The 27,958-nt window shown below is 42.1% G+C and overlaps 1 pseudogene, besides 9 other annotated features; it reads left to right on the top strand.

Annotated features, from left to right (window-relative positions):
- Positions 1,808–2,473: an enhancer, noted in NCBI's record as "OCT4-NANOG-H3K27ac hESC enhancer chr5:147254441-147255106 (GRCh37/hg19 assembly coordinates)". NCBI's record gives its function as "activates a minimal SCP1, AML or CMV promoter by ChIP-STARR-seq in primed H9 embryonic stem cells {active_cell/tissue: H9 hESC(primed)}" and the evidence as "EXISTENCE:reporter gene assay evidence [ECO:0000049][PMID:30033119]".
- Positions 2,474–3,141: an enhancer, noted in NCBI's record as "OCT4-NANOG-H3K27ac hESC enhancer chr5:147253773-147254440 (GRCh37/hg19 assembly coordinates)". NCBI's record gives its function as "activates a minimal SCP1, AML or CMV promoter by ChIP-STARR-seq in naive and primed H9 embryonic stem cells {active_cell/tissue: H9 hESC(naive and primed)}" and the evidence as "EXISTENCE:reporter gene assay evidence [ECO:0000049][PMID:30033119]".
- Positions 3,142–3,807: an enhancer, noted in NCBI's record as "OCT4-NANOG-H3K27ac-H3K4me1 hESC enhancer chr5:147253107-147253772 (GRCh37/hg19 assembly coordinates)". NCBI's record gives its function as "activates a minimal SCP1, AML or CMV promoter by ChIP-STARR-seq in naive and primed H9 embryonic stem cells {active_cell/tissue: H9 hESC(naive and primed)}" and the evidence as "EXISTENCE:reporter gene assay evidence [ECO:0000049][PMID:30033119]".
- Positions 6,476–7,142: an enhancer, noted in NCBI's record as "OCT4-NANOG-H3K27ac-H3K4me1 hESC enhancer chr5:147249772-147250438 (GRCh37/hg19 assembly coordinates)". NCBI's record gives its function as "activates a minimal SCP1, AML or CMV promoter by ChIP-STARR-seq in naive H9 embryonic stem cells {active_cell/tissue: H9 hESC(naive)}" and the evidence as "EXISTENCE:reporter gene assay evidence [ECO:0000049][PMID:30033119]".
- Positions 7,143–7,809: an enhancer, noted in NCBI's record as "OCT4-NANOG-H3K27ac-H3K4me1 hESC enhancer chr5:147249105-147249771 (GRCh37/hg19 assembly coordinates)". NCBI's record gives its function as "activates a minimal SCP1, AML or CMV promoter by ChIP-STARR-seq in naive and primed H9 embryonic stem cells {active_cell/tissue: H9 hESC(naive and primed)}" and the evidence as "EXISTENCE:reporter gene assay evidence [ECO:0000049][PMID:30033119]".
- Positions 7,191–7,485: a silencer, noted in NCBI's record as "tiled region #332; HepG2 Repressive non-DNase unmatched - State 24:Quies". NCBI's record gives its function as "represses a minimal TATA promoter and a strong SV40 promoter by Sharpr-MPRA in HepG2 cells {active_cell/tissue: HepG2}" and the evidence as "EXISTENCE:reporter gene assay evidence [ECO:0000049][PMID:27701403]".
- Positions 7,810–8,476: an enhancer, noted in NCBI's record as "OCT4-NANOG-H3K27ac-H3K4me1 hESC enhancer chr5:147248438-147249104 (GRCh37/hg19 assembly coordinates)". NCBI's record gives its function as "activates a minimal SCP1, AML or CMV promoter by ChIP-STARR-seq in naive and primed H9 embryonic stem cells {active_cell/tissue: H9 hESC(naive and primed)}" and the evidence as "EXISTENCE:reporter gene assay evidence [ECO:0000049][PMID:30033119]".
- Positions 8,477–9,142: an enhancer, noted in NCBI's record as "OCT4-NANOG-H3K27ac hESC enhancer chr5:147247772-147248437 (GRCh37/hg19 assembly coordinates)". NCBI's record gives its function as "activates a minimal SCP1, AML or CMV promoter by ChIP-STARR-seq in naive and primed H9 embryonic stem cells {active_cell/tissue: H9 hESC(naive and primed)}" and the evidence as "EXISTENCE:reporter gene assay evidence [ECO:0000049][PMID:30033119]".
- Positions 11,774–12,315: an enhancer, noted in NCBI's record as "H3K27ac-H3K4me1 hESC enhancer chr5:147244599-147245140 (GRCh37/hg19 assembly coordinates)". NCBI's record gives its function as "activates a minimal SCP1, AML or CMV promoter by ChIP-STARR-seq in naive H9 embryonic stem cells {active_cell/tissue: H9 hESC(naive)}" and the evidence as "EXISTENCE:reporter gene assay evidence [ECO:0000049][PMID:30033119]".
- On the top strand, positions 24,802–25,695 carry LOC100288484 (formyl peptide receptor 1 pseudogene; annotated as a pseudogene).

Raw genomic sequence — 27,958 nt, 5'->3', positions numbered from 1 at the left:
CTGCCATGCACCTCAATCCTGCCACTTCTCCTTCTTTCTCTACCAGTACTGCTTCCATTTCTCCCACATATTCCCACTGATGCCAGTGATATTAATATACCAAGCCCCTCAAAGAGCCAAGGTTGGTGGTAAGATTGATGCCGTTGCCGGAGGAACAGGGTCCAGCTGCTTGCTCTCGTGGTCCAATGATGAGATACAGGTGAACTGGGAAAGAAGCGAGTTTATTTTTGTAACCAGCCACAGGGAGAAGGTCGGAGTAATTTACCAGACCAACTAAAAGTTATGAGTTTTTCCTTTAGTATATATAAATGAATTTCAAGCTCTATGCCTATATGCAGGAGTATTTCTACTTAGCCTAAATCTAATCTTTAACTAGTGGTCTGTGGGCTGGAAAGTTTCTTAATTTTACATGGGTCCTGGTATGGTTTGTATGTGCATGAATGCTTTTATCACTCAATCAGGTTTGAGGATGAGAAAGCCCAGGTAGGGTCTTAACGGGTTTGTTTCTGCATTCCAGGTCTCCTACTCAGGCACCAGTTTCTCTAGTTCTTCAATGTTTAACTTACACATTCATCATTACAGCAAAGGGCTTATGGAGACTTGGTTGCTTGTGGAGATCCAGCCTGCCACAATGACGCCCTTTAGTTTTTTATTATGGTCTCTTTTGGAATACTAAACCAGTGCTGCCCTCAAATTTGTTTGCTTGCTTTTAAATCCTTTCTCTTCACTTTCATTCCTGGCTCTGTATTATAGAAAGTTGACTTTTTAAAATGTGGTTTCCAGGCTTCCTTGCTTCCAGGCTTCCTTGCCAACTGCATCTGATTAAGTTAAGCCAGGGGAAGGCACAGGTGAAAGAGTGGAGAGAGAGAGAAAAGGAGAAGGGATATGTCTCCCTCTCTCCAATTCAGGAGCTATCATGGGTAGTGGCTGCACCCTCTCCAAGGCTCATCTCCTTTTGGAAAGGTCCTTTATCTGTGGTTCCCCCTGTGCCACACAGGCCAACATTGTTCCAGCTTTTACTGCATGGCCCCAGCTCCTAGACCCCACCTTCTCATCACTGTCCTTCCTGACCTAGAAGGAGTAACAACTTTCTGCATTTTCTAATCTCAGAGTTGATTCATCTTCTGCTTGGTTGCTTTAACTGCATTTCTAGCACTTTGTAAATTACCCTACATGTTGAATTCTTTCTGTGTGGTCACTTGGTATGGTTTTAACTTTTTGGCTGGACTCTGACTGACACAGCATCCTAAAATATTGTAGCGCTTTCAATAAAAAATAGGTTTTCCAGTTTCTAAACTGACTTCTTATAAAAGCCAAGTTATAAATCCATGAGGGATAGGACCGAGGCCTCCTCAGGTGAAATATAGCATTATACATGCAGAAATGCTTCTCTCTTTTAACCTCTGAAATGATTGGTACTGTATCAGGCTTCTCTGCTGGTCCTAGAGGGCAAGTTCTTTCCAGGAGATTCCTGAGACCCCTGGGCAAATAGATTTCTGTTGGGTCTATCTAGTAGTCAGCCAGCCATGCAGTCTTGACTGGAATGTACATGAAAAACATCAACTCAAAAGCACCCACAAATATCCACATACATATACATATATGAATAGTAGTATGTATGTGTGTGTACATGCAAATCATATTATGCATACACAGATAACCATCAAACACTATTGTTTTCACTCATTTGTTCAACAAATGTTTATTGAGTATCCATTGTGTCTCAGGCACTGTGTCAGCAATTAGGACTAGTGCAGAAAACCAGACAAGCAAATTTCTTGCCTTCCTGGAGCTGACAATGTAGTGAGATACACAGGCAAGAAACATGTAAACAAACAGAAAACACTAGTGGTTAGTGCTGTTGAAGAAGCAAATAGAAAGCTGTGAAAGACAACAAGTGGATTGGGGGTATGCTCAGAATTGAAAACATACTTGGACTTGTTCACTTCTGGGCTTCCTATGTTTTGAGCCACTGTATTAATCATGTCTTTTAATTCTGTATTTTTAACGTTTTGACCCCTTGGGGCCTTGCTGACCTTGAAAGGACTGCCCTTCCCAGGACTAGCTAATTCCTAGAGATATCACCAGGAGCATGCCTTTCATATGCAAATTAACCAATCCAGAGCCCAAAGCCCCAACGACCTTTATTGGGCTTGTGCACTGTGGGCCATTATTCCCATGCCTTAATCACCCCATGACCAACTAGGGACAGCCCCAAGATCCCAGAGCCCACCAAAATTATTCACACTAGCCCATTTAAAACCTGCTTACCCCATCTCTCCTGTCTTCCTTCAGAAACCACAATAAAGACTCCTGCTCACATTTTCCTCCACTCCATCTGTCTCTTGAATAACCCTGGTGCTTCCCGTGTGCCTCCAGCCCCATGGTGTGTCATGGCCCCTTGTATTGGGATCTGAGCACACTAAAATCTCTTTTCAACAGCAGTCAACTCCTGATCTGTTCACAAGAAGAATAGAATCTACATTTTAAAACAGCCATGTAGCCTTTTCTTGTGCCTTTGTTATGGTATTGTTACTGTAACCACTCAATAGATTCACCTTGCCTGCTGCCTAGACAGAGCCAATGTATGAAGACAGGGGAATTGCAATAGAGACAGAGTTATTCACTTAGAGCTGGCTGTGGAGGAGACTGGAGTTTTATTATTACTGAAATCAGTCTCCTCCGGCATTCAAGGATCAGAGTTTTTAAGGATAACTTGGTGGGTGAGGGGCCAGTGAGTCAGGAGTGCTGATTGGTTAGGTTGGAGATGAAACCAGAGTTGAAGCTGCCCTGTTGCACTGAGTCAACTCCTGGGTGGGGCTACTGTCAGGCCTCTGAGCCCAAGCCAAGCCATCGTATCCCCTGTGACTTGCACGTATAAGCCCAGATGGCCTGAAGTAACTGAAGAATCACAAAAGAAGTGAATATGCCCTGCCCCACCTTAACTGATGACATTCCACCACAAAAGAAGTGTAAATGGCCAGTCCTTGCCTTAAGTGATGACATTACCTTGTGAAATTCCTTCTCTTGACTCATCCTGGCTCAAAAAGCACCCACTGAGCACCTTGCCACCCCCACTCCTACCCGCCAGAGAACAAACTCCCTTTAACTGTAATTTTCCTTTACCTACCCAAATCCTATAAAACGGCCCCACCCTTATCTCCCTTCGCTGACTCTCTTTTCGGACTCAGCCCGCCTGCACCCAGGTGAAATAAACAGCCATGTTGCTCACACAAAGCCTGTTTGGTGGTCTCTTCACACGGACGCGCATGAAATTTGGTGCCATGACTCGGATCGGGGGACCTCCCTTAGGAGATCAATCCCCTGTCCTCCTGCTCTTTGCTCCGTGAGAAAGATCCACCTACCATCTCAGGTCCTCAGACCAACCAGCCCAAGAAACATCTCACCAATTTCAAATCCGGTAAGCGGCCTCTTTTTACTCTCTTCTCCAACCTCCCTCACTATCCCTCAACCTCTTTCTCCTTTCAATCTTGGCGCCACACTTCAGTCTCTCCCTTATCTTAATTTCAATTCCTTTCATTTTCTGGTAGAGACAAAAGAGACATGTTTTATCCGTGAACCCAAAACTCCGGCACCGGTCACCGACTGGGAAGGCAGCCTTCCCTTGGTGTTTAATCATTGCAGGGACGCCTCTCTGATTTTACACTCACGTTTCAAGGGTGTCAGACCACGCAGGGACGCCTGCCTTGGTCCTTCACCCTTAGCGGCAAGTCCCGCTTTCCTGGGGCAGGGGCAAGTACCCCTCAACCCCTTCTCCTTCACCCTTAGCGGCAAGTCCCAGTTTCCTAGGGGGCAAGAACCCCCAATCGCTTATTTCCACACCCCAACCTCTTATCTCTGTGCCCCAATCCCTTATTTCCATGCCCCTACCCCTTCTCTGCTTTTCTGGAGGGCAAGAACCACCCCCCTGCAACCCCTCCTCCGTGTCTCTACTCTTTTCTCTGGGCTTGCCTCCTTCACTATAGGTAAGCTTCCACCTTCCATTCCTCCTCCTTCTCCCTTAGCCTGTGTTCTCAAAAATTTAAAACCTCTTCAACTCATACCTGACCTAAAACCTAAATGTCTTATTTTCTTCTGCAATGCCGCTTGACCCCAATACAAACTGTCGTCAAATGGGCAAATGGTCTGAGGTGCCTGACGTCCAGGCATTCTTTTACACATCAGTCCCTTCCTAGTCTCTGTGTCCAGTGCAACTTGACCCAAATCTTCCTTCTTTCCCTCCCGCCTGTCCCCTCAGTACCAACCCCAAGCGTCGCTAAGTCTTTCTAATCTTCCTTTTCTACAGACCCATCTGACCTCTCCCCTCCTCGACAGGCCGAGCTAGGTCCCAATTCTTCCTCAGCCTCCGCTCCTCCACCCTATAATCATTTTATCGCCTCCCCTCCTCACGCCTAGTCCGGCTTACAGTTTCCTTCTGTGACTAGCCCTCCCCCACCTGCCCAGCAATTTATCCTTAAAAAGGTGGCTGGAGCTAAAGGCATAGTCAAGGTTAATGCTCCTTTTTCTTTATCCCAAATCAGATAGCGTTTAGGCTCTTTGTCATCAAATATAAAAACCCAGCCCAGTTCATGGCTCGTTCGGCAGCAACCCTGAGACACTTTATAGCCCTAGACCCTAAAAGGTCAAAAGGCCGTCTTATTCTTAATATACATTTTATTACCCAATCTGCTCCCGACATTAAATAAAACTCCAAAAATTAAATTCCGGCCCTCAAACCCCACAACAAGATTTAATTAACCTCGCCTTCAAGGTGTACAATAATAGAAAAAAGTTGCAATTCCTTGCCTCCACTGTGAGACAAACCCCAGCCACATCTCCAGCACACAAGAACTTCCAAACACCTGAACCGCAGCCGCCAGGTGTTCCTCCAGAACCTCCTCTCCCAGGAGCTTCCTACAAGTGCCAGAAATCTGACCACCAGGCCAAGGAATGCCTGCAGCCCAGGATTCCTCCTAAGCCGTGTCCCATCTGTGTAGGACCCCTCTGGAAATCGGACTGTTCAACTCACCTGGCAGCCACTCGCAGAGCCCCCGGAACTCTGGCCTAAGTCTCTCTGACTCCTTCTCGGCTTAGCGGCTGAAGACCGACACTGCCCGATCACCTCGGAAGCCCCCTAGACCATCACGGACGCGGAGCTTCGGGTAACTCTCACACTGGAAGGTAAGTCCGTCCCCGTGTTAATCAATATGGAAGCTACCCACTCCACATTACCTTCTTTTCAAGGGCCTGTTTCCCTTGCCTCCATAACTGTTGTAGGTATTGACGGCCAGGCTTCTAAACCTCTTAAAACTCCCCAACTCTGGTGCCAACTTAGACAGTACTCTTTTAAGCACTCCTTTTTAGTTATCCCCACCTGCCCAGTTCCCTTATTAGGCTGAGACACTTTGACTAAATTATCGGCTTCCCTGTCTACTCCTGGACTACAGCTATATCTCATTCCGCCATTCTTCCCAATCCAAAGCCTCCTTTGCGTCTTCCTCTTGTATCCCCCCACCTTAACCCACAAGTATAAGATACCTCTACTCCCTCCTTGGCGACCGATCATGCACCCCTTACCATCTCACTAAAACCTAATCACCCTTACCCCACTCAACACCAATATCCCATCCCGCAGCACACTTTAAAAAGATTAAAGCCTGTTATCACTCACCTGCTAGAGGATGGCCTTTTAAAACCTATAAAATCTCCTTACAATTCCCCCATTTTACCTGTCCTAAAACCAGACAAGTCTTACAATTTAGTTCAGGATCTGCGCCTTATCAACCAAATTGTTTTGCCTATCCACCCCATGGTGCCAAACCCATATACTCTCCTATCCTCAATACCTGCCTCTACAACCCATTATTCTGTTCTAGATCTCAAACATGCTTTCTTTACTATTCCGTTGCGCCCTTAATCCCAGCCTCTCTTCGCTTTCACTTGGACTGACCCTGACACACCCATCAAGCTCAGCAAATTACCTAGGCTGTACTGCCGCAAAGCTTCACAGACAGCCCCCATTACTTCAATCAAGCCCAAATTTCTTCCTCATCTGTTACCTATCTCGGCATAATTCTCAAAAACACACGTGCTCTCCCTGCCAATCGTGTCCAACTGATCTCTCAAACCCAAGCACCTTCTACAAAACAACAACTCCTTTCCTTCCTAGGCATGGTTAGCGCGGTCAGAATTCTTACACAACAGCCAGGACCACACCCTGTAGCCTTTCTGTCCAAACAACTTGACCTTACTGTTTTAGCCTAGCCCTCATGTCTGCGTGCAGCGGCTGCCGCTGCTTTAATACTTTAGAGGCCCTCAAAATCACAAACTGTGCTCACCTCACTCTCTACAGTTCTCATAACTTCCAAAATCTATTTTCTTCCTCATACCTGATGCATATACTTTCTGCTTCCCGGCTCCTTCAGCTGTACTCATTCTTTGTTGAGTCTCCCACAATTACCGTTGTTCCTGGCCCAGACTTCAATCTGGCCTCCCACATTATTCCTGATACCACACCTGACCCCCATGACTGTATCTCTCTGATCCACCTGACATTCACCCCATTTCCCCAAATTTCCTTCTTTCCTGTTCCTCACCCTGATCACGCTTGATTTATTGATGGTGGTTCCACCAGGCCTAATCGCCACACACCAGCAAAGGCAGGTTATGCTATAGTACAAGGCACTAGCCCGCCTCTTAGAACCTCTCATTTCCTTTCCATCATGGAAATCTATCCTCAAGGAAATAACTTCTCAGTGTTCCATCTGCTATTCTACTACTCCTCAAGGATTATTCAGGCCCCCTCCCTTCCCTACACATCAAGCTCGAGGATTTGCCCCCACCCAGGACTGGCAAATTAGCTTTACTCAACTTGTCCGGAGTCAGGAAACTAAAATCTTAATCTCTCCCACTCAAGGTGCCCACGCCGCCCCTAATCCCGCTTGAAGCAGCCCTGAGAAACATCGCCCATTCTCTCTGCATACCACCCCCCCAAAAATTTTCGCCTCCCCAACACTTCAACACTATTTTATTTTACTTTTATTATTACTATAAGAAGGCAGGAATGTCAGGCCTCTGAGCCCAAGCCAAGCCATCGCATCCCCTGTGACTTGCACGTATACGCCCAGATGGCCTGAAGTAACTGAAGAATCACAAAAGAAGTGAATATGCCCTGCCCCACCTTAACTGATGATATTCCACCACAAAAGAAGTGTAAATGGCCGGTCCTTGCCTTAAGTGATGACATTACCTTGTGAAATTCCTTCTCTTGGCTCATCCTGGCTCAAAAAGCACCCCCACTGAGCACCTTGCCACCCCCACTCCAGCCCACCAGAGAACAAACTCCCTTTAACTGTAATTTTCCTTTACCTACCCAAATCCTATAAAACGGCCCCACCCTTATCTCCCTTCTCTGACTCTCTTTTCGGACTCAGCCTGCCTGCACCCAGGTGAAATAAACAGCCATGTTGCTCACACAAAGCCTGTTTGGTGGTCTCTTCACACGGACGCGCATGAAAGCTACAAGATCAGATGAGCCAGTTTATCCATGTGGGTGGTGCCAACTGATCCATCAAGTGCAGAGTCTGCAAAATATCTCAAGCACTGATCTCAGGTTTTACAATAGTGATGTTATCCCCAGGGGCAATTTGGGGAGAGTCAGAATCTTGTAACTTCCAGGTACATGACTGCTAAATCATAATTTCTAATCTTTTGGCTAATGTTAGTCCTAGAAAGACATTCTAGCCCCCAGGCAAGAAGGGGAAGTAGGGGTGTTGTTTCCCTTTTGTTTCAGAGTCTTTCTTCCCTCAGGCTTCTTCTGAGGGTAAAGGAAACTGTCCCCCATCCCGCCATCACTCTTGGTGGTTGGGGATATCAGCCTCAGTCCAAGCCAGGCTTTCTATGACATTTTCCTGATTTGTTTGGAATGAACAGGTGAGCAGCAGCTCTCTGCCCCACTCCCCTCCCGGAAGAGACTGGGGCTCATGGCCCAAAGGCCACATGTGGCAGGCTGGCCAGTGTTCCTAGCCACACATCCACAGTGTCTTCCCCTCTCCTGGCTGAGGGATCCAGCTCCATGCGAACCCCAGGGAACAAACAGCAATTAAGTTTCTCTCCCTCTTGGAGAAACCATTTGCATAAGAATAAGAGCTTCTTCCCTCAGGCATCTTTCCAACCCCGCACTTTGAGGGTTTTTTTTTTTTTTTTTTTTTTCCTTTTCTCAACCCTGTCAGCAGTTAACACAGCCCTGCACTTTAAGTTGGGTTTTTTTTTCTTCTTTTCAATGGGTCAAGAGTTATGTGAAAAGCTTTTTTTCATGCACGTCCCTGTGAAGAGACCACCAAACAGGCTTTGTGTGAGCAACATGGCTGTTTATTTCACCTGGGTGCAGGCGGGCTGAGTCCGAAAAGAGAGTCAGCGAAGGGAGATAGGGGTGGGGCCATTTTATAGGATTTGGGTAGGTAAAGGAAAATTACAGTCAAAGGGAGTTTGTTCTCTGGCGGGCAGGAGTGGGGGTCGCAAGGTGCTCAGTGGGGGTGCTTTTTGAGCCAGGATGAGCCAAGAGAAGGACTTTCACAAGGTAATGTCATCACTTAAGGCAAGGACCAGCCATTTACACTTCTTTTGTGGTGGAATGTCATCAGTTAAGGTGGGGCAGGGCATATTCACTTCTTTTGTGATTCTTCAGTTACTTCAGGCCATCTGGGCGTATACGTGCAAGTCACAGGGGATACGATGACTTGGCTTGGGCTCAGAGGCCTGACATTCCTGCCTTCTTATATTAATAATAAAAATAAAACAAAATAGTGTTGAAGTGTTGGGGCGGTGTAAATTTTTGGGGGGTGGTATGCAGAGAGAATGGGCGATGTTTCTCAGGGCTGCTTCAAGCGGGATTAGGGGCGGCGTGGGAACCTAGAGTGGGAGAGATTAAGCTGAAAGGAGGTCTTGTGGTAAGGGGTGATATTGTGGGGATGTTAGAAGAAATATTTGTCGTATATAATGATTGGTGATGGCCTGGATACGGTTTTGGATGAATTGAGAAACGAAATGGAATAACAGAAGGAGAAAAACAGGTATAAAAGGTCTAAGAATTGGGATGACTCAGGATATCTGATTAGAGAGTGCCTAAGGAGATTCAGCATAGTCTTGCCAGTAAAGATTATTTATTTACTTCAAGAGTTAAGAGTGGCAGTTTGGGGATATCTCAAGGAGATATCAGCTGGGATGGCTTGGAAAAACAGTGGAAACCGGCAGTGTAAACAAGAGCAGGGCATGTATGAGTAGTTGAGAACGGTGAATAGGAGTATGACTAGACAGAAGATAGTAAGGATGACAAGTTTTTTGGGGGGCACAGTCTAAGTTGGTCTGGTGTCTGGAATAAGACTGGGGCCTAATAAAAAGGAGCATCTATACAGGAGCTTAAATGCGCTGTATCCTGTAGCATTCTGAGGACAGGCCTGAATTCTGAGAAGAGAAGGTGGTAGAAGTATTGTCCAGTTCTTTTTAAGTTGGTGGCTGAGCTTGGTGAGGTGTGTTTTTTAAAGACCTTTGGTCCATTCTACTTTTCTTGAAGATGGAGGACCATAAGGGATATAAAGGTTTCACTGAATACTAAGAGCCTGAAAAACTGCTTGGCTGATTTGACTAATAAAGGCTCAACTGTTACCAGACTGTATTGATGTGGGAAGGCTAAACTGAGGAATTATGTCTCTAACAGAAAGGAAGAAATGACTGCGGTGGCCTTCTCAGACCCTGTAGGAAAGGCCTGTACCTATCCAGTGAAAGTGTCTACCTAGACTAAGAGGTATTTTAGTTATCTGACTCAGGGCATGTTGAGTAAAGCTAATTTGCCAGTCCTGGGTGGGGCAAATCCTGGAGCTTGATGTGTAGGGAAGGGAGGGGGCTTGAATAATCCCTGAGGAGTAGTAGAATAGCAGATGGAACACTGAGAAGTAATTTCCTTGAGGATAGATTTCCATGATGGAAAGGAAATGAGAGGTTCTAAGAGGCGGGCTAGTGCCTTGTACTATAGCATAACCTGCCTTTGCTGGTGTGTGGCGATTAGGCCTGGTGGAACCGCCATCAATAAATCAAGCGTGATCAGGGTAAGGAACAGGAAAGAAGGAAATTTGGGGAAATGTGATTGTCAGGTGGATCAGAGAGATACAGTCATGGGGGTCAGGTGTGGTATCAGGAATAATGTGGGAGGCCAGATTGAAGTCTGGGCCAGGAACAATGGTAATTGTGGGAGACTCAACAAAGAGTGAGTATAGCTGAAGGAGCCGGGAAGCAGAAAGTATATGCATCAGGTATGAGGAAGAAAATAGATTTTGGAAGTTATGAGAACTGTAGAGAGTGAGTTGAGCACAATTTGTGATTTCGAGGGCCTCTAAAAATATTAAAGCAGCGGCAGCCGCTGCACGCAGTCATGAGGGCTAGGCTAAAAGAGTAAGGTCAAGTTGTTTGGACAGAAAGGCTACAGGGTGTGGTCCTGGCTGTTGTGTAAGAATTCTGACCGCGCTAACCATGCCTAGGAAGGAAAGGAGTTGTTGTTTTGTAGAAGGTGCTTGGGTTTGAGAGATCAGTTGGACACGATTGGCAGGGAGAGCACGTGTGTTTTTATGAGAATTATGCCGAGATAGGTAACAGATGAGGAAGAAATTTGGGCTTGATTGAAGTAATGGGGGCTGTCTGTGAAGCTTTGCGGCAGTACAGCCTAGGTATTGCTGAACTTGATGGGTGTCAGGGTCAGTCCAAGTGAAAGCGAAGAGAGGCTGGGATTAAGGGTGCAACGGAATAGTAAAGAAAGCATGTTTGAGATCTAGAACAGAATAATGGGTTGTAGAGGCAGGTATTGAGGATAGGAGAGTATATGGGTTTGGCACCATGGGGTGGATAGGCAAAACAATTTGGTTGATAAGGCGCAGATCCTGAACTAAATTGTAAGACTTGTCTGGTTTTAGGACAGGTAAAATGGGGGAATTGTAAGGAGAGTTTATAGGTTTTAAAAGGCCATGCTCTAGCAGGCGAGTGATAACAGGCTTTAATCTTTTTAAAGTGTGCTGCGGGATGGGATATTGGCGTTGAGTGGGGTAAAGGTGATTAGGTTTTAATGAGATGGTAAGTGGTGCATGATCGGTCGCCAAGGAGGGAGTAGAGGTATCTTATACTTGTGGGTTAAGGTGGGGGGATACAAGAGGAAGAGGCAAAAGAGGCTTTGGGAAGAGCCTTCTTTGGGAAGAAGAGCGGCAATGAGATATAGCTGTAGTCCAGGAATAGTCACAGAAGTGCATAATTTAGTTAAAGTGTCTCAGCCTAATAAGGGAACTGGGCAGGTGGGGATAACTAAAAAGGGGTGCTTTAAAGAGTATTGTCTAAGTTGGCACCAGAGTTGGGGAATTTTAAGAGGTTTAGAAGCCTGGCTGTCAATACCTACAACAGTTATGGAGGCAAGGGAAACAGGCCCTTGAAAAGAAGGTAATGTGGAGTGGGTAGCCTCCGTATTGATTAAGAAGGGGACGGGCTTACCTTCCACTGTGAGAGTTACCCGAAGCTCGGCGTCCGTGATGGTCTAGGGGGCTTCCGAGGTGATCGGGCAGTGTCAGTCTTCAGCCACTAAGCCGAGAAGATCTGGGAAGGAATCAGTCAGAGAGCCTTGGGCCAGAGTTCCAGGGGCTCTGGGAGTGGGTGTCAGGTGAGTTGAACAGTCCGATTTTCAGTGGGGTCCCACACAGATGGGACGAAGCTTAGGAGGAATCCCAGGCTGCGGGCATTCCTTGGCCCAGTGGCCAGATTTCCGGCACGTGTAGCAAGCTCCTCTGGGAGGAGGTTCTGGAGGAACACCTGGCGGCTGCGGTTCAGGTGTTTGGAAGTTCTTGTGTGCTGGAGATGTGGCTGGGGTTTGTCTCACAGTGGAGGCAAGGAATTGCAACTTTTTTCTATTATTGTACACCTTGAAGGCGAGGTTAATTAAATCCTGTTGTGGGGTTTGAGGGCCGGAATTTAATTTTTGGAGTTTTATTTAATGTCGGGAGCAGATTGGGTAATAAAATGTATTTTGAGAATAAGACGGCCTTTTGACCTTTTAGGTTCTAGGGCTGTAAAGCGTCTCAGGGTTGCTGCCAAACAAGTCATGAACTGGGCTGGGTTTTTATATTTGATGACAAAGAGCCTAAACGCTATCTGATTTGGGATAAAGAAAAAGGAGCATTAACTTTGACTATGCCTTTAGCTCCAGCCACCTTTTTAAGAGTAAATTGCTGGGCAGGTCGGGGAGGGCCAGTCACAGAAGGAAACTGTAAGGTAGACCAGGCGTGAGGAGGGGAGGCGATAAAAAGATTATAGGGTGGAGGAGCGGAGGCTGAGGAAGAATTGGGACCTAGCTCGGCCTGGCAAGGAGCAGCCTGGGGAGGAAGGGACAGGTTAGATGGGTCTGTAGAAAAGGAAGATTAGAAAGACTCAGCAACGCTTGGGATGGTACTGAGGGGACAGGCGGGAGGGAAAGAAGGAAGACTTGGGACGAGTTGCACTGGGCACAGAGACTAGGAAGGGACTGATTTGTAAAAGAATGCCTGGATGTCAGGCACCTCAGACCATTTGCCTATTTTATTATAAGAATTATTTAGATCTTGCAGGATGGAAAAATTCAAAGTGCCATTTTCTGGCTATTTGGAACTACTGTCAAGTTTGTTTGATGAGAAATAACATTAGAATTCACAAAGGCTTATTTTAGAAAACAAACAGAGACAATAAGGTATGCCAAGAAAGCTGCATGGGACAGTGTCTTTCACTTTTCTATGCCCACCACTCTTCATGCATAGCATCTGCCCATGACAGATATCGAACAATGTTTAGTTTACAATCAGACAAGCCAAGAGTGTGTAAGATGAGTTAGATGCGAGGGTCTGGCTCCAGAACCCTAAACTCTGATTGACTGATAAGCTTTGTCCTTGATCTGGAATGACTTGATCACTGGGAATAAATATGAATTCTCAAGCAGGAGTATCTGCTCATGGGGATTATAAAGCAGATTAGTGTAAGACAAGACAGGAAGATTTTTCAGTGTCCGGGAAGACTCTGGCCCCACCCACTACTGATCCAAAACCTTTTAGCTGAAGTCTACCGTTCGCTCCTCAGCAGCAGCAGTTCCCAGTGCAGTTATTGGGCCCTTTTGTTTGGGTGTGGTCTTTTCTGATGTGTGGAATATGAATGAGAGGGGTTTGGCACTTTTGGTTTACTCTTTTGATATCTATCTAAGTAATAAACGCTAAATCTAAAAGTGTCTTCTTGCATCTTTACCAGTGTAATCAGTCAGGCTTTGACCTTGGCCCTAATGTCTTGTATATGTAAGCTCCACACCCTTCCAAAAAAAATGCCAGACTGCACATCCATCATGTGGGTGCAAATCAAAGAAGAACAAAAGTTTGTGTTTTACTTTGCCAAGTTATAGGTCCAGGATTAGTGTCTTGGCTACAAATCATTTCCCCATTGCTAAATGTTTACATTGTTAAAAGAAAACTTGAGACAAATTAAATTCAAAAGAGTTTAATAGAGCAAGGAAAAAAAAGGTTAATGAATTGGACAGCCTCCAGAATCACAGCAGATGCAGAATGACCCCAGGGATACCTCGTGATCACAGCAAATTTATAGACAAAAAAAGGGAAAGTGGCGTAGAGAAAACAGAAGTGAGGTTCAGAAACAGCTGGATTGGTTACAGCTTAGTGTCTGCCTTATTTGAACACAGTTTGAACAGTCAGCAGCATATGAGTGGTTGAAGTATGGCTGATGGGATGGGCTGAGACTCAGCTGTTGCTATAGAAGCATATTCCTAAGTTAGGTTTTCAATCTTATCTACCCACTAAGGTAGGATACAGTTCATCCACAAGGACTCAAAAATGGAGTTACAGAGGCTTTCTCAGGCCATATTTAGTTCGATTTAACAATTCCCCATTTTTGGTCAGTCTCTCCATTTAGAGAGATTGACCAAACTTTAGGAATTGACACCATTCTCTGTCACCATCATGAAAGACTTCTTCAGTCTCATTACGGAATTCACAAGTCTTCTTTAATGTCAGTAGGAAATTCACAAGTCGCAGCTTTGTACCAGCTGAATGTTTATGTTGTTGCTGACACAGTTGGAGTGAGACCATTTAACTCTCAATGGATAGCCACGTACAAGACATTTAGGACTTGAGAGATACAGTGCACCAAGGGGACTATTATTAGGACTATAAAGAGGATTATACCAAAATACCAAGGTATACTTCTTAACAGGAGTTCTTGTGAAAATGAACTGAACCAAATTAACCAACTGAAGGTTCAGACAATATAAGCAGTTCGACAGTCTTAGGGTCAAATTGGTCATAGTCCTTGCTCAGAGAGTGAGAACAGTTAAGGATCATAGCGCTCCGTAAAGTGGCCTGATTTAAAGAGGATCTCATTTTTACTGTTACCCTGGTAATACAAGCCATAATAACTTGGAAAGCCTCTAGAAAAAATATAAAGATTAAAACCCTTGGCCTCTGATTATAAGTACTATCATGAGAATTTTCAGGAGAAGCTATTTGAAAGGAGCAAGGAAAATTGCATGTGCCCTTTTAGTTTTGAAAGTAAATCTCGCCCTAGCCAATTTACTGGAGCAGTATCACATAGTAAAAAGTTTGTTATTATGAAAAGGCCCCAAAGTTAATTGGATGGATTCAGATAAGAGATCCTCTTGTACTTGATTTGAAACCCCCACCACAGGAATGACCTTTTTACTCCAAGGGATTTGTTGGCTTATTGAAGTGGAGTTTACGGTAGATAGGGTAGCTCTGGTATCCACCATGACTGTACATGACTCCCCATTTATTTTAACCTTTGTTTCTCCATGTTTATTTAAAGGTATTATAGGGAGAAATTTACCAGAGAATCCCTTGGAGCCTCATCAATGTTGATTTTTATCAGAAGGGCTGAGGTCTCTTGGGTTCTTTTTAGGGTGGAAACAGTCGGCCTAAAGGGAGGCTTATTGGCATACTGAAATAAAAGCAGACAATCTCTTTTCAAGTGTCTTGATTGTCTGCAATGAAGGCAGACATCTTGCGGTAAAGAACTTCTTGTTCTAGGTCCTTTTGGTTGTGATTTAAAATGAGAATGAGAAGGTCCCTTCCATACTTTTGCTCCCAGCCCCTGTAACTATTGTAGTTGAAGGGTCATAAGTTTGTTAGCCTTTTGAGTTTTTCCTTCCTCTAGAGTCATCTCCAAATGTTCAGTTAAGACCACCAATTCAGTCATTCCTGTAACTTCCTATTCCAGTTTATGTGTTCTAATCAAACTGTTAAGTTCAGGATGGAGTCCATGTATGAACAGAGCAGTTAACGCTGTTTCAGTCCCTGCAGGAAATACTCCTTGCTATACTTTGAGCCCTACATGTTTCACAGTGTTTCTAAGCGAGTTCTGTAATCTGAAACTGGTTCATCCTTTTTCTGTTTACAAGATTGTATGATGGGCCAATCAGTTTTTTGTGGACAAATTTTAGGAATTAAATTTAAAGGGTATTTACCAATTTTTAGAGCTACTTTTTGTCCTTCTCATGAAGAACTTTTGGAGGGGTCTTTAACATCCGCCTCAGGTTTGTCCCAGTCTGCTGCTGCCATCCATTCCCAAGCTTCACCAGGCCCCAACATCATGTGAATAAATTGATAAAGGTCAGGAAGTCCTGGATTGTAAGCTTGTATGAGGATTCTAAATTCCTCAGTAAAGTTTTGAGGATTTTCACTTGGATCAAGAAAGTACTTCACAATGGCTCTAAGCTTAGTTTTGGACCATGGAGTGAAAGTAGTTACAGCAGGCAGGCCCAGCTGGTCAGAAGGTCTCACTTTGTAAGACATCTGTCTGATTTCTTTTTTTTTCATCATCGTCAGGGCGAAAGGGTAATTTACCAAAAAGGTTAGTGGACTCAGACTATGTAGGTAGAGATACATAAAGAGAAGGAATAGTTGAGGTTAGTTCAGTCAGAGTACAGTCCTCTTTTATCACATTCTTGGTCTTTTGCTTAAGCTTTTCATTTGTTTTTTGCAAAGAATCTTTTAAGGAAGCAATGTTTGATTCATGTGGTCTTTTAGAGGCCTCTGCATACCAATGAAAGAATACGTCCCACTGTTTTCATGGGGCTTTTGATCCCCCCTTTTCTAATGTGCCTCACAAATAATTTTATCCAAATTAAAACTTCCCCATTGTGGCCATCTTAATTCTAAGTTTTCTCTAGTGCGGTTAACCCATTTTTCTAAAAATGCACATGTTCTGGGTCCATAATTTTTATACATAAAATTTACATGGAGTCCTGGAAGGTGGAGTCCCAGACTCTTTGGATTCAAAAGATCCCATTTTAAAAATAAAGTACCTTCCTGAGGCCTGAGACCTCTAACTGAATCCAGTTCAGTTAATTATCAAATCCAATTCAATCCTGGACTCAGTCCAGCCTAACTATTGCTCAAATAAACACATAGAGCTCAGAACACAAGTTGGTGGAGCTCGGAATCTGAGAGCAAACTCACCCATGACCTCCAGCTACAATCAAGAGAGCAGTGAGCACAATAGTCTCCTCAGGTACCTCACCTGGTCACCTGGTGTTCCTGGGGGTTGCTGGAGTTTTACTTTTAATCCCACTCTGACACCAGATCTGTTAAAAGAAAACTTTAGACAAATTAAATTTAACAGTTTAATTGAGCAAGGGAAAAAAAAAGAAAAAAATTGGGCAGCCTCCAGAATCACAGCAGATTCAGAGTGACTCCAGGGATGCCTCACGGTCAGAACAATAAAAGGAAAGTGATGTATAAAAAAACAGAGGTGAGGTACAGAAACAGATGGATTGGTTACAGCTTGGTGCATGTCTTATTTGAGCATAGTTTGAACAGTCAGCGGCATATGAGTGGTTAAGTATAGCTTCTGGGATTGGCTGAGACTCACCTATTGTTACAGAAGCATACTTCAGTCTTGTCTACCTACTAAGGTGGTTATAGTTCATCCACAAGGATTCAAATATGGAAGTATGGAGGCTTTCTCAGGCCATATTTAGTTTGATTTAACAACATGCGCTATGATTCTTTTGGTAGTACAGGGTGGAGGAGGCCTTTTTACTGAGGTGTGTGGGCTCCTGACAAGCTTGATGTTTGCTAAACACTGTCTCCAGCTTCTCCACATCTTTCTAGGGTTGAGGCTGCTCTTTTGTGCTTTCAGTGCCCTTGTTCTTTGTTTAGTGACAAAGAGCACAGGTCCTGAAGCCAGCCTGTCTGTATTCATGGCACAGCTTTTCCAATGGGGAAGTTATTTACCTTGCTGGGCCTCAGTTTTACCAACTATTTTATAGTTGGGCTAACAAACTTCCTTCCTTCTAAGGGTGTTATAAGTAATAAGTTAACATATGCAAAATGCTTACAAAAATTAGTACCTGGGAATGAACACTCAAGATACGTTACACTATTATTATTATTATCCCCTCTCTATCTTTACTTTTAGCTATCCAGCTTCATAATTATAACCTCAGTCAGAGCAGCCACAATCACCAAGCTCATGAACTACTTCTCAACACTTTAATTTTGAGTGATGTTTGGGGAGTTTTATTTGTAATTTCTCTTTGAAGAATTTTACCTTTCTTTAGCTTGTACACAGAATAGAAGTAGGAGAATGGATAATCACTGCATCCAGTGAACAAATTATAAGATTTTTTTTGGTATAAGATTTTAAATTTGAGACAATTTCAAACTTACAGAAAAGATTTGAATACAGTACATAGAACTCTTTTTTTCAGAACCATTGGAGAGTAAATTGCTAGCCAATGTCCTATCACTCACAAATACTTCAGTGTGTGTTAAAGGGTTATTAATGCTGCCATATACGTTTGTGTGGATTAAGTGAGATGATGTATGTGCAAACCCTTGGTTTACAGTTAAGTATTGTATTAATGAAATCATGTTTGTCATTCCATCAAGTCTAGAAAAATTCAGGATTTATTTTTTGGCTGTCAGAAAAAACTGAGGAACTGGGGAAAAAGTCACAGGCTCTATTTCAGTGGTCTTTCTTTTTAAGTCAAGATAAGCAACAACAGCTCTGGTCTCAAATCATTTCAAATATCACAGGTTATGAAAATATGGCTGAAAAAATATGTTACTATGAAAATGTGCCATCAAAATCAAATAAGAAAAAAATCTATTTTACAGGTTATTAGTCACAGTCAACACATTCTATTTAGATCTGAACTCAACCCAGTGAGATCATTTGCAACCTGGACCTCTCAGTTGTCTAATGCCATATAACAAAATACTCCAAAATTCAGTGGTTCAAAACAAGCACAGTGTACTTTTTTCATGATTCTTTAAAAATACCATATAGCTGCTTCACCTGTTTCATTGATTGATGTTTACTGGGGCACTGGGATGGCTGGAGAGCCAGAATACTGGCATTTTGTGATTGGCTTTGGCTATGAGCTCAGTGGAGGCAGTTTGCAAAGCATCTGGTAATTCATGAGTTCCAGGAAAATGCATTCCAAGATATGAAAATTAAAACCCTAGATGTCCTAATGTTTAGCCTCAAAAGACACATGGCATCTCTTCAGCCACATTCTATTATTCAAATGAAGCCATAGGACGTGCCCAGTGCCAAGAGGAGAGAAAATAAACTCTACTTCTTGGTAGGAGGAATTGCAAAGAATGTGTGGTCATATTTAATTCACAACAAACCCATAATAAGAAGATTATCCAGGCTTTTGAAGGATCATATGAGAGACAGTTAATAAACTTGGTGACACCAGCCTGGAGAGAAGATAAACCAAGAAACCCTTAAGAGATTGTTCAGATATTTGGAGGGCTATCATCATGAAGCAAAAATAGATATGAATTTAGGATTGAATTTGAGAGGTTTTTGAAATGTGACTACAAATTACAAGAAAATAAAGTTTAATGGCTCCATACTGAATCCTACAAATAAAGGTTAGCTAATACCAAATTTACTGTGGAAAAGGCTCTTGTAATAGATAAGAATAGATGAGATTATCTTCATTACACTTTCCAAGTCTATGAGGTTGGTGCAAAGGTAATTAATTTTGCACCATAATATCATCATATGACTCCAACAGCCTCCTTAACCTAAGATTTAATTCAAGAAGAAGACACTTAAAACTGCAATAAACAAAGCACTTTAAACCTTATTAAGCTTCTCACATATCATTTCTGGGACTCTATCACAAAAAGTATCAAATTCAATAAATGTTGATGCACACATTATTTTCCCCCATGGGTCTCAATATTTTAAGGTTTTGACTGTCAAATCTATAATAATCTAAGTCAAAAGTACAGCTACTTAAGCCTCAACACTAATTAAAATATTTAAAACATTTCTTTTTTTGAAATGTTTAAAATCATTCACAATGCTTCAATATTTTAAAGAGTTACACTATCACAGGTCCTGAGATCTGGAATCTTTGGAATGACAATATGGATTAGATTATGTCTGATATGACTTCAGCTTCATTTTCTTTCTTTCAGGGTGGAATTATTAAAGTTCAAACCATGGGAAACTATGAATGTTTGTGGAATGCGATGTTGAACAAGAGTAACTTTCAAAGTGGTGCACAAATGCCCTCTTGTGGCCATTTCCGGGATTGTGCTACAGTTTACAAAACAAAAGCAACCTAACAGGCAATGTTAGTGATGGCCATCTTTGTGCCACATCCTGTGCTAGAAGAAAATAATGAATTGAAAAAGGAAAAAAAATATATGTTTAAAGAGGAGGAAGAAATATTGTTTTTAGTTTTTGTTTTACTTCTCAGATGATAAGCCAGCTAAAAGAAATACTACCTCAAATGCTGCAGAAGGCTTAGGACCTTTTATATTGAATTTGGGGGTATGGAGAAACTCAGAGGCTTAGAAACTTTTATATTGGATTTGGGAATATGGAGAATTTAAGAGTAAAGACAAAGTACTCAAATTGGCTGATGTACCTTGAAGACCTGGAGGCCTCTAATCTTAGGAGATTTCATAGCATCCCCTAAATATTCAGCAGTATAGGGGGGATCATCAGGATCCTTCTGTCACACTAGGATTTTGATAAATCAACAGACATTTAGGTCGACACAGGCTGCTACTCAGCCCTCCTTGCATTCCTTAGTCCATGAGTGCCAACTCCAGAAATTCCAACATATTGTCATCAAAAATTGTGGAAAGCATTTAGAAAGGACAGAACTAAGTTTATGTCCTGGACAGAAACTTAGAAAGCAGCACTAATAATAAGATGTACAGGTCACATTTGGATGCCTAAGGTCAACCATTGTCACCTCCTCAACACAACCAGAAGTGTTTCCAAGAATCTCCAAAGTGGTGCCATAGCTAAATGTAATACTATTTAGGTCTTGCCTAGCACAGAGCAGAGCAGGTCTATCAGCTTCTTTGAAGAAGACATCAGAGTTTATTAATGGCCCCAGATCACATTAAGCTTTTTTAGTTCAGAGAATGGCTGCCAGAATCAAGTTCTAACACATCATAAACAATATTAAAATATCAGACTAACAAAAAGTAGCTTAAAAGAATAAAATTGTATTGGTGTGTGAATATGCATCAGACAAGCCTAGTACTGGCTTGGCCTAAGAGTATTTATTTGACCCCAAGTTTATTTTCATTTTACCTATTGGAATAATTACAAAACCTGCTACCATCTATTAACACAACTTTCCTATAAGGCTGTGCTTTAAAAGTTTATCTTTCTTCCATGGTCTTCTGCTGGAAGGTAGAAGAGTCAGAAGAGATAAGAGATAATAAATACTTAGGCATCTAAGTATTTACCAACATATTTTGTTTTTTAAGAGTTCTGGATGAAAGTTCAATTCAAAGATATATGACCCCTTGGGTGTGTAATCATGGCCATTATGATGATATAATGGAAGAGGCTTTGTACCAGAGTCCCTGCATATCCAAAAGGGATACATTCCAAGACCCCCAGTGGATGCCTGAAACCTCGAATAGTTCTGAACTTTATATATACTGTTTCTCCTACACATTCTTATCCATGATAATGTTTAATTTATAAATTAGGCACAGTAAAAGATTAACAACAACAGCTAATAATAAAATAGAGCAACTATAACAACGTACTGAAATAAAAGTTATCATGCACTGTGGCTGTAACTTTTGCAGCTTGAAGTGTGACAGAAAAACTAGCACAATTTTTTCTTCTTCATAGTTTCACAGATAAAGTATTTGTTCTTACTATAGATCTTAACCACTTCAGCATATTATTTTTTTCTTTCCTTATTAAGTCAAGAACTTTTATATTTTCACTTAAAGGAAGCACTTCGTGGCTTCTCTTTGGCATTTCCAAATTGCCAGCATCACTGCTCTTGTACTCTGGGGCCATTACAAAATAAAATATGGGTGACTTGAACATAATCACTGTGATACTGAGACAGTCAGTGTGATAACCGAGTTGGCTGCCAAGTGAGTAACAGGCAAGCAGCATCCACAGCACGGGTACTCCAGACAAAGGGACAAGTCATGTCCCTGGGCATGAGATTTCATCGTGCTACTCAGAGCAGTGTGAAATTTAAAACTTATGAGTTGTATATTTCTGAAATTTTTCGTGTAATATTTTTGAACTCCAGTTGACCATGGGTAACTGAAACCGAGAAAAGCAAACTGGGGATCAAAAAGGCTACTGTACACTAGAGATTGTTCTGAGCTATTGTTAACAGGAATGTGCCAGGTTTATGTAAATATATTTCATTTAATACTTAAATTCAGATTTACGTTCATATATTTGTATTCAACATTTACCTCCAACACTATCCTTTCCCCTGTCTTGCAATTTTAAAACTTCACTCACTCTTTGTTCCTCCCACAAAGTTGCCCCTCTCATCATTGAGGAAGCATCCACTTCTGACTTTCTGCACATGGGGGAGATCCCTCACCATCACAACCAAGCCATAAACAGACAGGAGCTCTCTGAGCATCAGTTTTCTCATCTACCACAGTGTCCCATGCGGACGGCCTTTCCAAATACTATTTAATAATATTGCATCCTAATAATGTCCAACTATTTTAAACCAAATCGTAAATCACACATTTGTATTATGCTTTCTGGTTGTCCAATTACCTTTATTTACTGGGTTTATTTAAGCTTCAGAGGAATATATACGGATTTTATAGCTAAAGCTCAATTAGATTAAGCTCATTTTACAGACTGGTCTCACAGTTTAGACTCAACACTAAGCCTACAAAGTTCAATCATCTCATTGCCGTCTGTGATTAAGCAACCACCCTTTCCGTTTCCACAGGGGATCCTCTGACGTGGTTTTTACAAAATCCTATCATCACACCCTTCTGATTCCAAAGTACAGAATAGTGAAGGGGTTAAACCTGCTCTATAATAAGCACTCCATAAATATTAGCTGTTGCTGTTGTAATTAACGTCAAGCTTTACTATGCTCATGCACTTTTAAATTGTCTTTATATTTGTTTCAAAATCTTAGACATAAATTTCATCAAAGATGAGGTCACATTTCCTAAAGTCTTAATTATCCGGACCAGTGATCACTGAACTTCAAGGCCCTGATGAATAAAAATTGTTTGTATCCCAAGCTCCCTCCCTAAAAGAATTCTAGGCGTTTAGACAAACCTCAACACGAGCCCCCAGGTTCCTCCTTTCGACTGTATTACTTAGGTCCTAGCACAGAGACTTCACCAGTCTGATAACTGACACAGATGCCTTCAGAGTCCCTTGGCCCCATAGATTCAAAAGCCTCCAAAATGGATTTGGCTGCTATAAAACCCCAGCAGGGAAGCAGAGCTCCAAGCTGGTGAAGGTGAGTGTGTGGGGTTCCACTACTGAGAGAGGCATAGGCAGGTTTCACAGTTGTCTGGGGGTGGCCATTTGGGGCCAGATGAAGGGTGAAAAGTTGGGAAGAGATTGTGCAAGAAGAGGAAAACTTCACTTAAATAAGTAAGCATCTAAAACAAGGGAAATAACTGGTTCCTTCAAGAAAAAGGATTCTGCTTTATATAACTCTTGATTCTATAATTTATACTCACAGGTATCATCTCATTGAATCTTTATCCTTTATCAGCACTATAATAATTAAACAAGTGTTTATGGAATGTTAATATAAATCAAATGTGGTGCATGAAACAAAAATTAGGATAGTAATGATGGTATCAATAAAAAGAATAATAACCAACATGCTGGGTGTTTTTGATGTATCAGATATATTTCTAAATATTTCACTGAAATATTTCCTTATATTACCACAACAACCCTCTGAGGTATGTATTAATATTATATATTGCTTTTAAAAATTAAGGCTGTAAAGCTCAGAGAGGGTAAATGCCTTGCCTAAGGTATTTAGTGGTAGAAGTAGAATAAGCTGTGACTCCTGAGATAGATATCAAAGCAACCATTTCTAATATGCAGGCAAGACTGCTAGAATTAAACAGACATCCGGTGCTATGAACAAACAGAGAAAGAAGCAAGTAAGTCTACTAGGATGTGTGTGTGCAAGATTTCACCAACAGAAAATGGTGGAGGGGAAGGCATTCTAGGTAGCGAGAACAGCATAAACAAAAGCAGGCATTAGGTAGAATTGAAGACTGGCCCCACACATTGAGGAACTTAAAAATTGAAACAGGAAAATAGGACAGAAACAGATAGCAATGCCAACAATATGCAGCAGGCATTTCCCATAAGGAAATGAGAAAACAATAATTCATATGGGTTAGACAATAATTCATGTGGCCCCTAAATGCAGCTGACGTGACCATCTTCCCTTAAGAGAGTTTGGAGGGTCAGTCACCAGGAGAGATCCCACTTCCTCCAGGGTGGACACCCACCTCCTGATGTCCTTTACCCATAAAAAAGAGCATTGTAATGAGGTGAGGAAAAGATAAGATTTGGTTTCAGGAGGTTTGGGTTCAAGAACCAGGTCTGCTAGTTCCTAAGGCAGTGAGCTACAGCTCAAAGAAAACAACCTTTTTCAGTCTTTGCTTTCATATATGTCAAAAATCACTTCAATAATAAAACATTTGTCTTACGTAGCTAACATGGCATTTTGGAAATTATTAAATAGTGTGAAGCACAGGAAAGCCCTTTTGTAAACTAAATTAAAAATACGAATATGAGCCCCCCTTCAGCCCATTGAAGGAGGAATATACAGTAAAAAGAAAAAAATCAGGTAAAGTATATGAATTTTTAATTAAGCAGAACTAACGTCAAAATTCATTTCTGCTTTTTTACTGCTGAATGTTTGATTTTCAGTAATTTAGTAACCTCCCTTTACCTTAGTTTTCTCATTCATAATAATTCTTTTCCATATGACAGATTTGTTATGGGAAATAAATTAAATGCAATATATGAACAGAACATTGGACTCCTAGTAGCTGCTTAATTCATGATATGCAATATATGGAACATAGCTAGCATAGTGGCTGGCATAGAATAAGTGGTGAAAACTGTGGTTAAGAATATGGATAAGAAAACAAGAAGAGGAGGAAGAGGAGCAAGAGCACATGGGGGAGGAGGAGGAATATCACCAACAGAGAATGGCACATCCTAAAGCAGGGACATGAAAGCTGTCTGCAGTCATCATAAGAAAGGAAGTGGTGATAATTTAAGCAGTTTATGTAGTTTGAAAGTTTGAGCCTAAATATACCTTGGCTATTTTTAGGTAGCATGGAGAATGTGTCTGCATTGTCACTGTTGACTGTGGAGAGTCCCACGTCCATGTTTGACTATTGTGATGACTCTTTGGAGAGGGTCAAGTCTGCTCTTGACATCTTTTCCATGATCATCTACACAGTGACTTTCTTCCTAGGCTTGGCTGGCAATGGCCTTGTCATTTGGGTAGTTGGATTCCACATGTCCTGCACAGTCAACACGGTGTGGGTGGTACCTCAACCTGCCCGTGGCTGACTTCATCATCATCTTCCCACTGCTTCTCCAGCTGGTTATGGTAGCTCTGTAACCCTTTGGCCAGCTGCTCTGTAAACTCAATAGCACCATGTCTATTTTTAACTTTCTGGCCAGTGTCTTCCTTCTGACCCTCATCTCCATGGACCACTGACTTGTGATCCTGTGGCCAATCTAGTCCTGGAACAATTGCACACCAGCAAAGGCAACTCTGGGGCCCTTGAGGACCTGGCTTTTGGCAATTTGTTTCTCTGTTCCCTACTTGATCTTCAAGGAAACTCGTGGTGGAAAGTGTCACCCTCTTTGTACAACCAGTATGATCTGCAGAATGAAACTCAAGGAAGTCACCAACTTTGGAAAGAGATTATCATTCCATGGCACCAAACGCTGGTCACAACAGCCCACTTTTTCTTTGGCTTCTTTCTCCCTCTGGCTATCATCACTGGCTACTACATCCTTGTAGCCTTGAAGTTAAGAGAAAGGCAGCTGGTTAAGTTTAGCTGACCCTTCCAGGTCCTTGCGACTGTGGTAACCACCTTCTTCCTCTGCTGGTTGCCCTTGCAAGTGTCCCTGTGGCTGGACTTCACATCATTTCGGGAAGACAGAGAGGGCCTGAACCAGGTGGCCTTACTCCTAAGACCCCTGGCCTTGTCTATGGCCTTTATCAACAGCTGTCTCAATCCAGTTCTCTATGTCTTCATTGGGCATGATTTCTGGGAGCACTTGCTCCACTCCCTGCTAGCTGCCTTAGAACGGGCACTTAGTGAGGAGCCAGATAGTGCCTGAATCCCAGCTCCCAGGCAGATGAGTCCTTTATAACATGACCCAATTTCCTACTCCATTTTCCCACCACTCAATCCTCTTCCCAAACAGCTCTACCATAATCCAACATCCAACAGAATTTAAGAGAATAAACCACAACTTTTAAGTGAGCTCTATGTGCTAGGTCATGTTTTAGAATACAACCTTAAGTGCCTGGAAGATGGAGGCAAGAAACAAACAAGGTCTCATTCTTTAGAGGAAGACAGTTCACCAAGACTCAAACAGAAAAAAAGATAGTTATCTTGTGACAAAACAAGTCATAAAATTGGGTCAGGACCTGCAGCAATGACTTTATGCTAGAATCCAGAGCACTAGCAGGAAACTGCTTAAATTTTACTTAATCAAAGTCAAGTTTGGACATACGTGTCAGGTAAAACCTAGCAGAGATGAGCTACCTTGATTTTAAAACTTCAAGGGATAGCTCAATGTCATCAAGATCCTTTTGATGACTTGAGGTTAATAGGATGTTTTTGAACCAAGGAACTTGAAAAATGGGCCAACACTCTGCTTCTGTGTATGTTACATGCTAAGCACTTGGTGAATGTGTAATGAGGAAAAGGAGTGGGGTAAAAATTAGCAAGAAACCTCAGTCGTGCCCAACATTAAATGAACCTTTATCAATGGGTATCAATGGGTACAAAGTTACAGTTAGGAGAGATAATTCTCATGCTCAGTTGCAAAGCAGTGACTGTACTCAACAATAATGTATTATAAGTTAAAATAGCTAGAAAAGAGGAGTGTTGAGGTGATGGATATGGTATTTACTCTGATTTTATTGTCATTTTATATATATATATATATATATATATATACACACACACATATACATATATATAAACATCACACTGCACCCCATAAATAGGTACAATGATTATGAGCTAATTAAAAACAAAAGAAAACTTGTTTTTTAAAAAAAGAACCTTTCGTTGTAGTCCATGGGCATGTTTCAAAATCTCAATGCATGTTCTTGCACACACACACACACACACACACACACACACACAATTTTTAACAATCTTTATAAATATAAGGATTGTAAATCTACTGTTCATTTTTCTCTAATAGGAGTAATTCTTTGCATTCTGGAAATGGTCCTGGTTCGAAGCCCAGAGTTACTAAGGAGGTACTCCGCAAAAGATAAATGGTAAAGATGCATTTTCCTTCTAAATTCAAGGTTCCTTGACAGTTTTAACTCTCCACCTCCCAGGCTTACTTGGGACACTAATGTATATTATGAAAGTGGCTGCCATCTGGCTGCCTGAAGTAGACTCAGAAGCTGGAGTCACCACCCCTTCCATCTTACAGCAGGTAGAAGAGGAGTCAGCTCCCATTCTTTCTTGTCCCAACCCATAAATAAAGGGACAGTGATAGACTTCCCCTTCTATAGGAACCACAAAGCTGTTCATAATAGAAAAACTGGGAGTCACTAGAACAAGTATTTATAAATCAATATAGGACCAGGGTACCAGGCTCTGATCATTTTTTTTGCTATTCACCAGAGTTCTGATATATTAAATGACGGGTTTGGGGAGGGCACGAAGAGGGAAGCTTAATGAACACCAAATCTGCCAAGGCCTAAAGAAATGGGAGCCCTTCATATATCTGATATCACAAATTCCCTTTGGGTTAGAAGTAATACATCTCCTGTGGAAGTGATAGTGATTCAGCTTTTTATTTTAGCTTTTGTTAAATCAATAAAGAGAAAAAACCTAGAGGGTAGAAAATAGATTGAATACTAAAATGAAGACCTAACTCCTTAATGGATAGGAAGGAGGTAAGACAGCAGGCATTTGCCATTTCAAAGAGAGCCCTGTCTTATCAAGAATGATATACGTGGGTAAGCAGCAATCTCAAGATTTGGGCCTATGCCAGGATAGATAAAACCTAAAAGGATAAACATTTGAAATACATAATTTTAGAAACTAAGGAGAAGAGTTCCTGGGCAAAATTAAATGAACTAACCAGTCATGATAGTTGTTCCTCAATTCAGACTTATTGCTAAGAAAACACTTGAAAATCTGTAAGTCAAAGTTTCAGAGACAGAACTAAATACAAAAGAAATAGAAGTTGGAAGGAGAGCACAGCCATGGTCCTGGCAAAACAATTGTGAGTGCTGGGATGGGAAGTGGGATAAGTGGCCCCGAGAGTAGGTAGATGAAGGATGCAGGCTAAGCCTGAGAAAGCCCTCAGGGAGAGTAGGAATTTTGCCCAGTCC

This window comes from Homo sapiens, chromosome 5 (genome assembly GCF_000001405.40).
Source record: "Homo sapiens chromosome 5, GRCh38.p14 Primary Assembly".
NCBI classification, from domain to species: Eukaryota; Metazoa; Chordata; class Mammalia; order Primates; family Hominidae; genus Homo; species Homo sapiens.
Note: the sequence above shows the minus strand (reverse complement) of the source record. Positions and strands in the feature narration are given on the sequence as shown.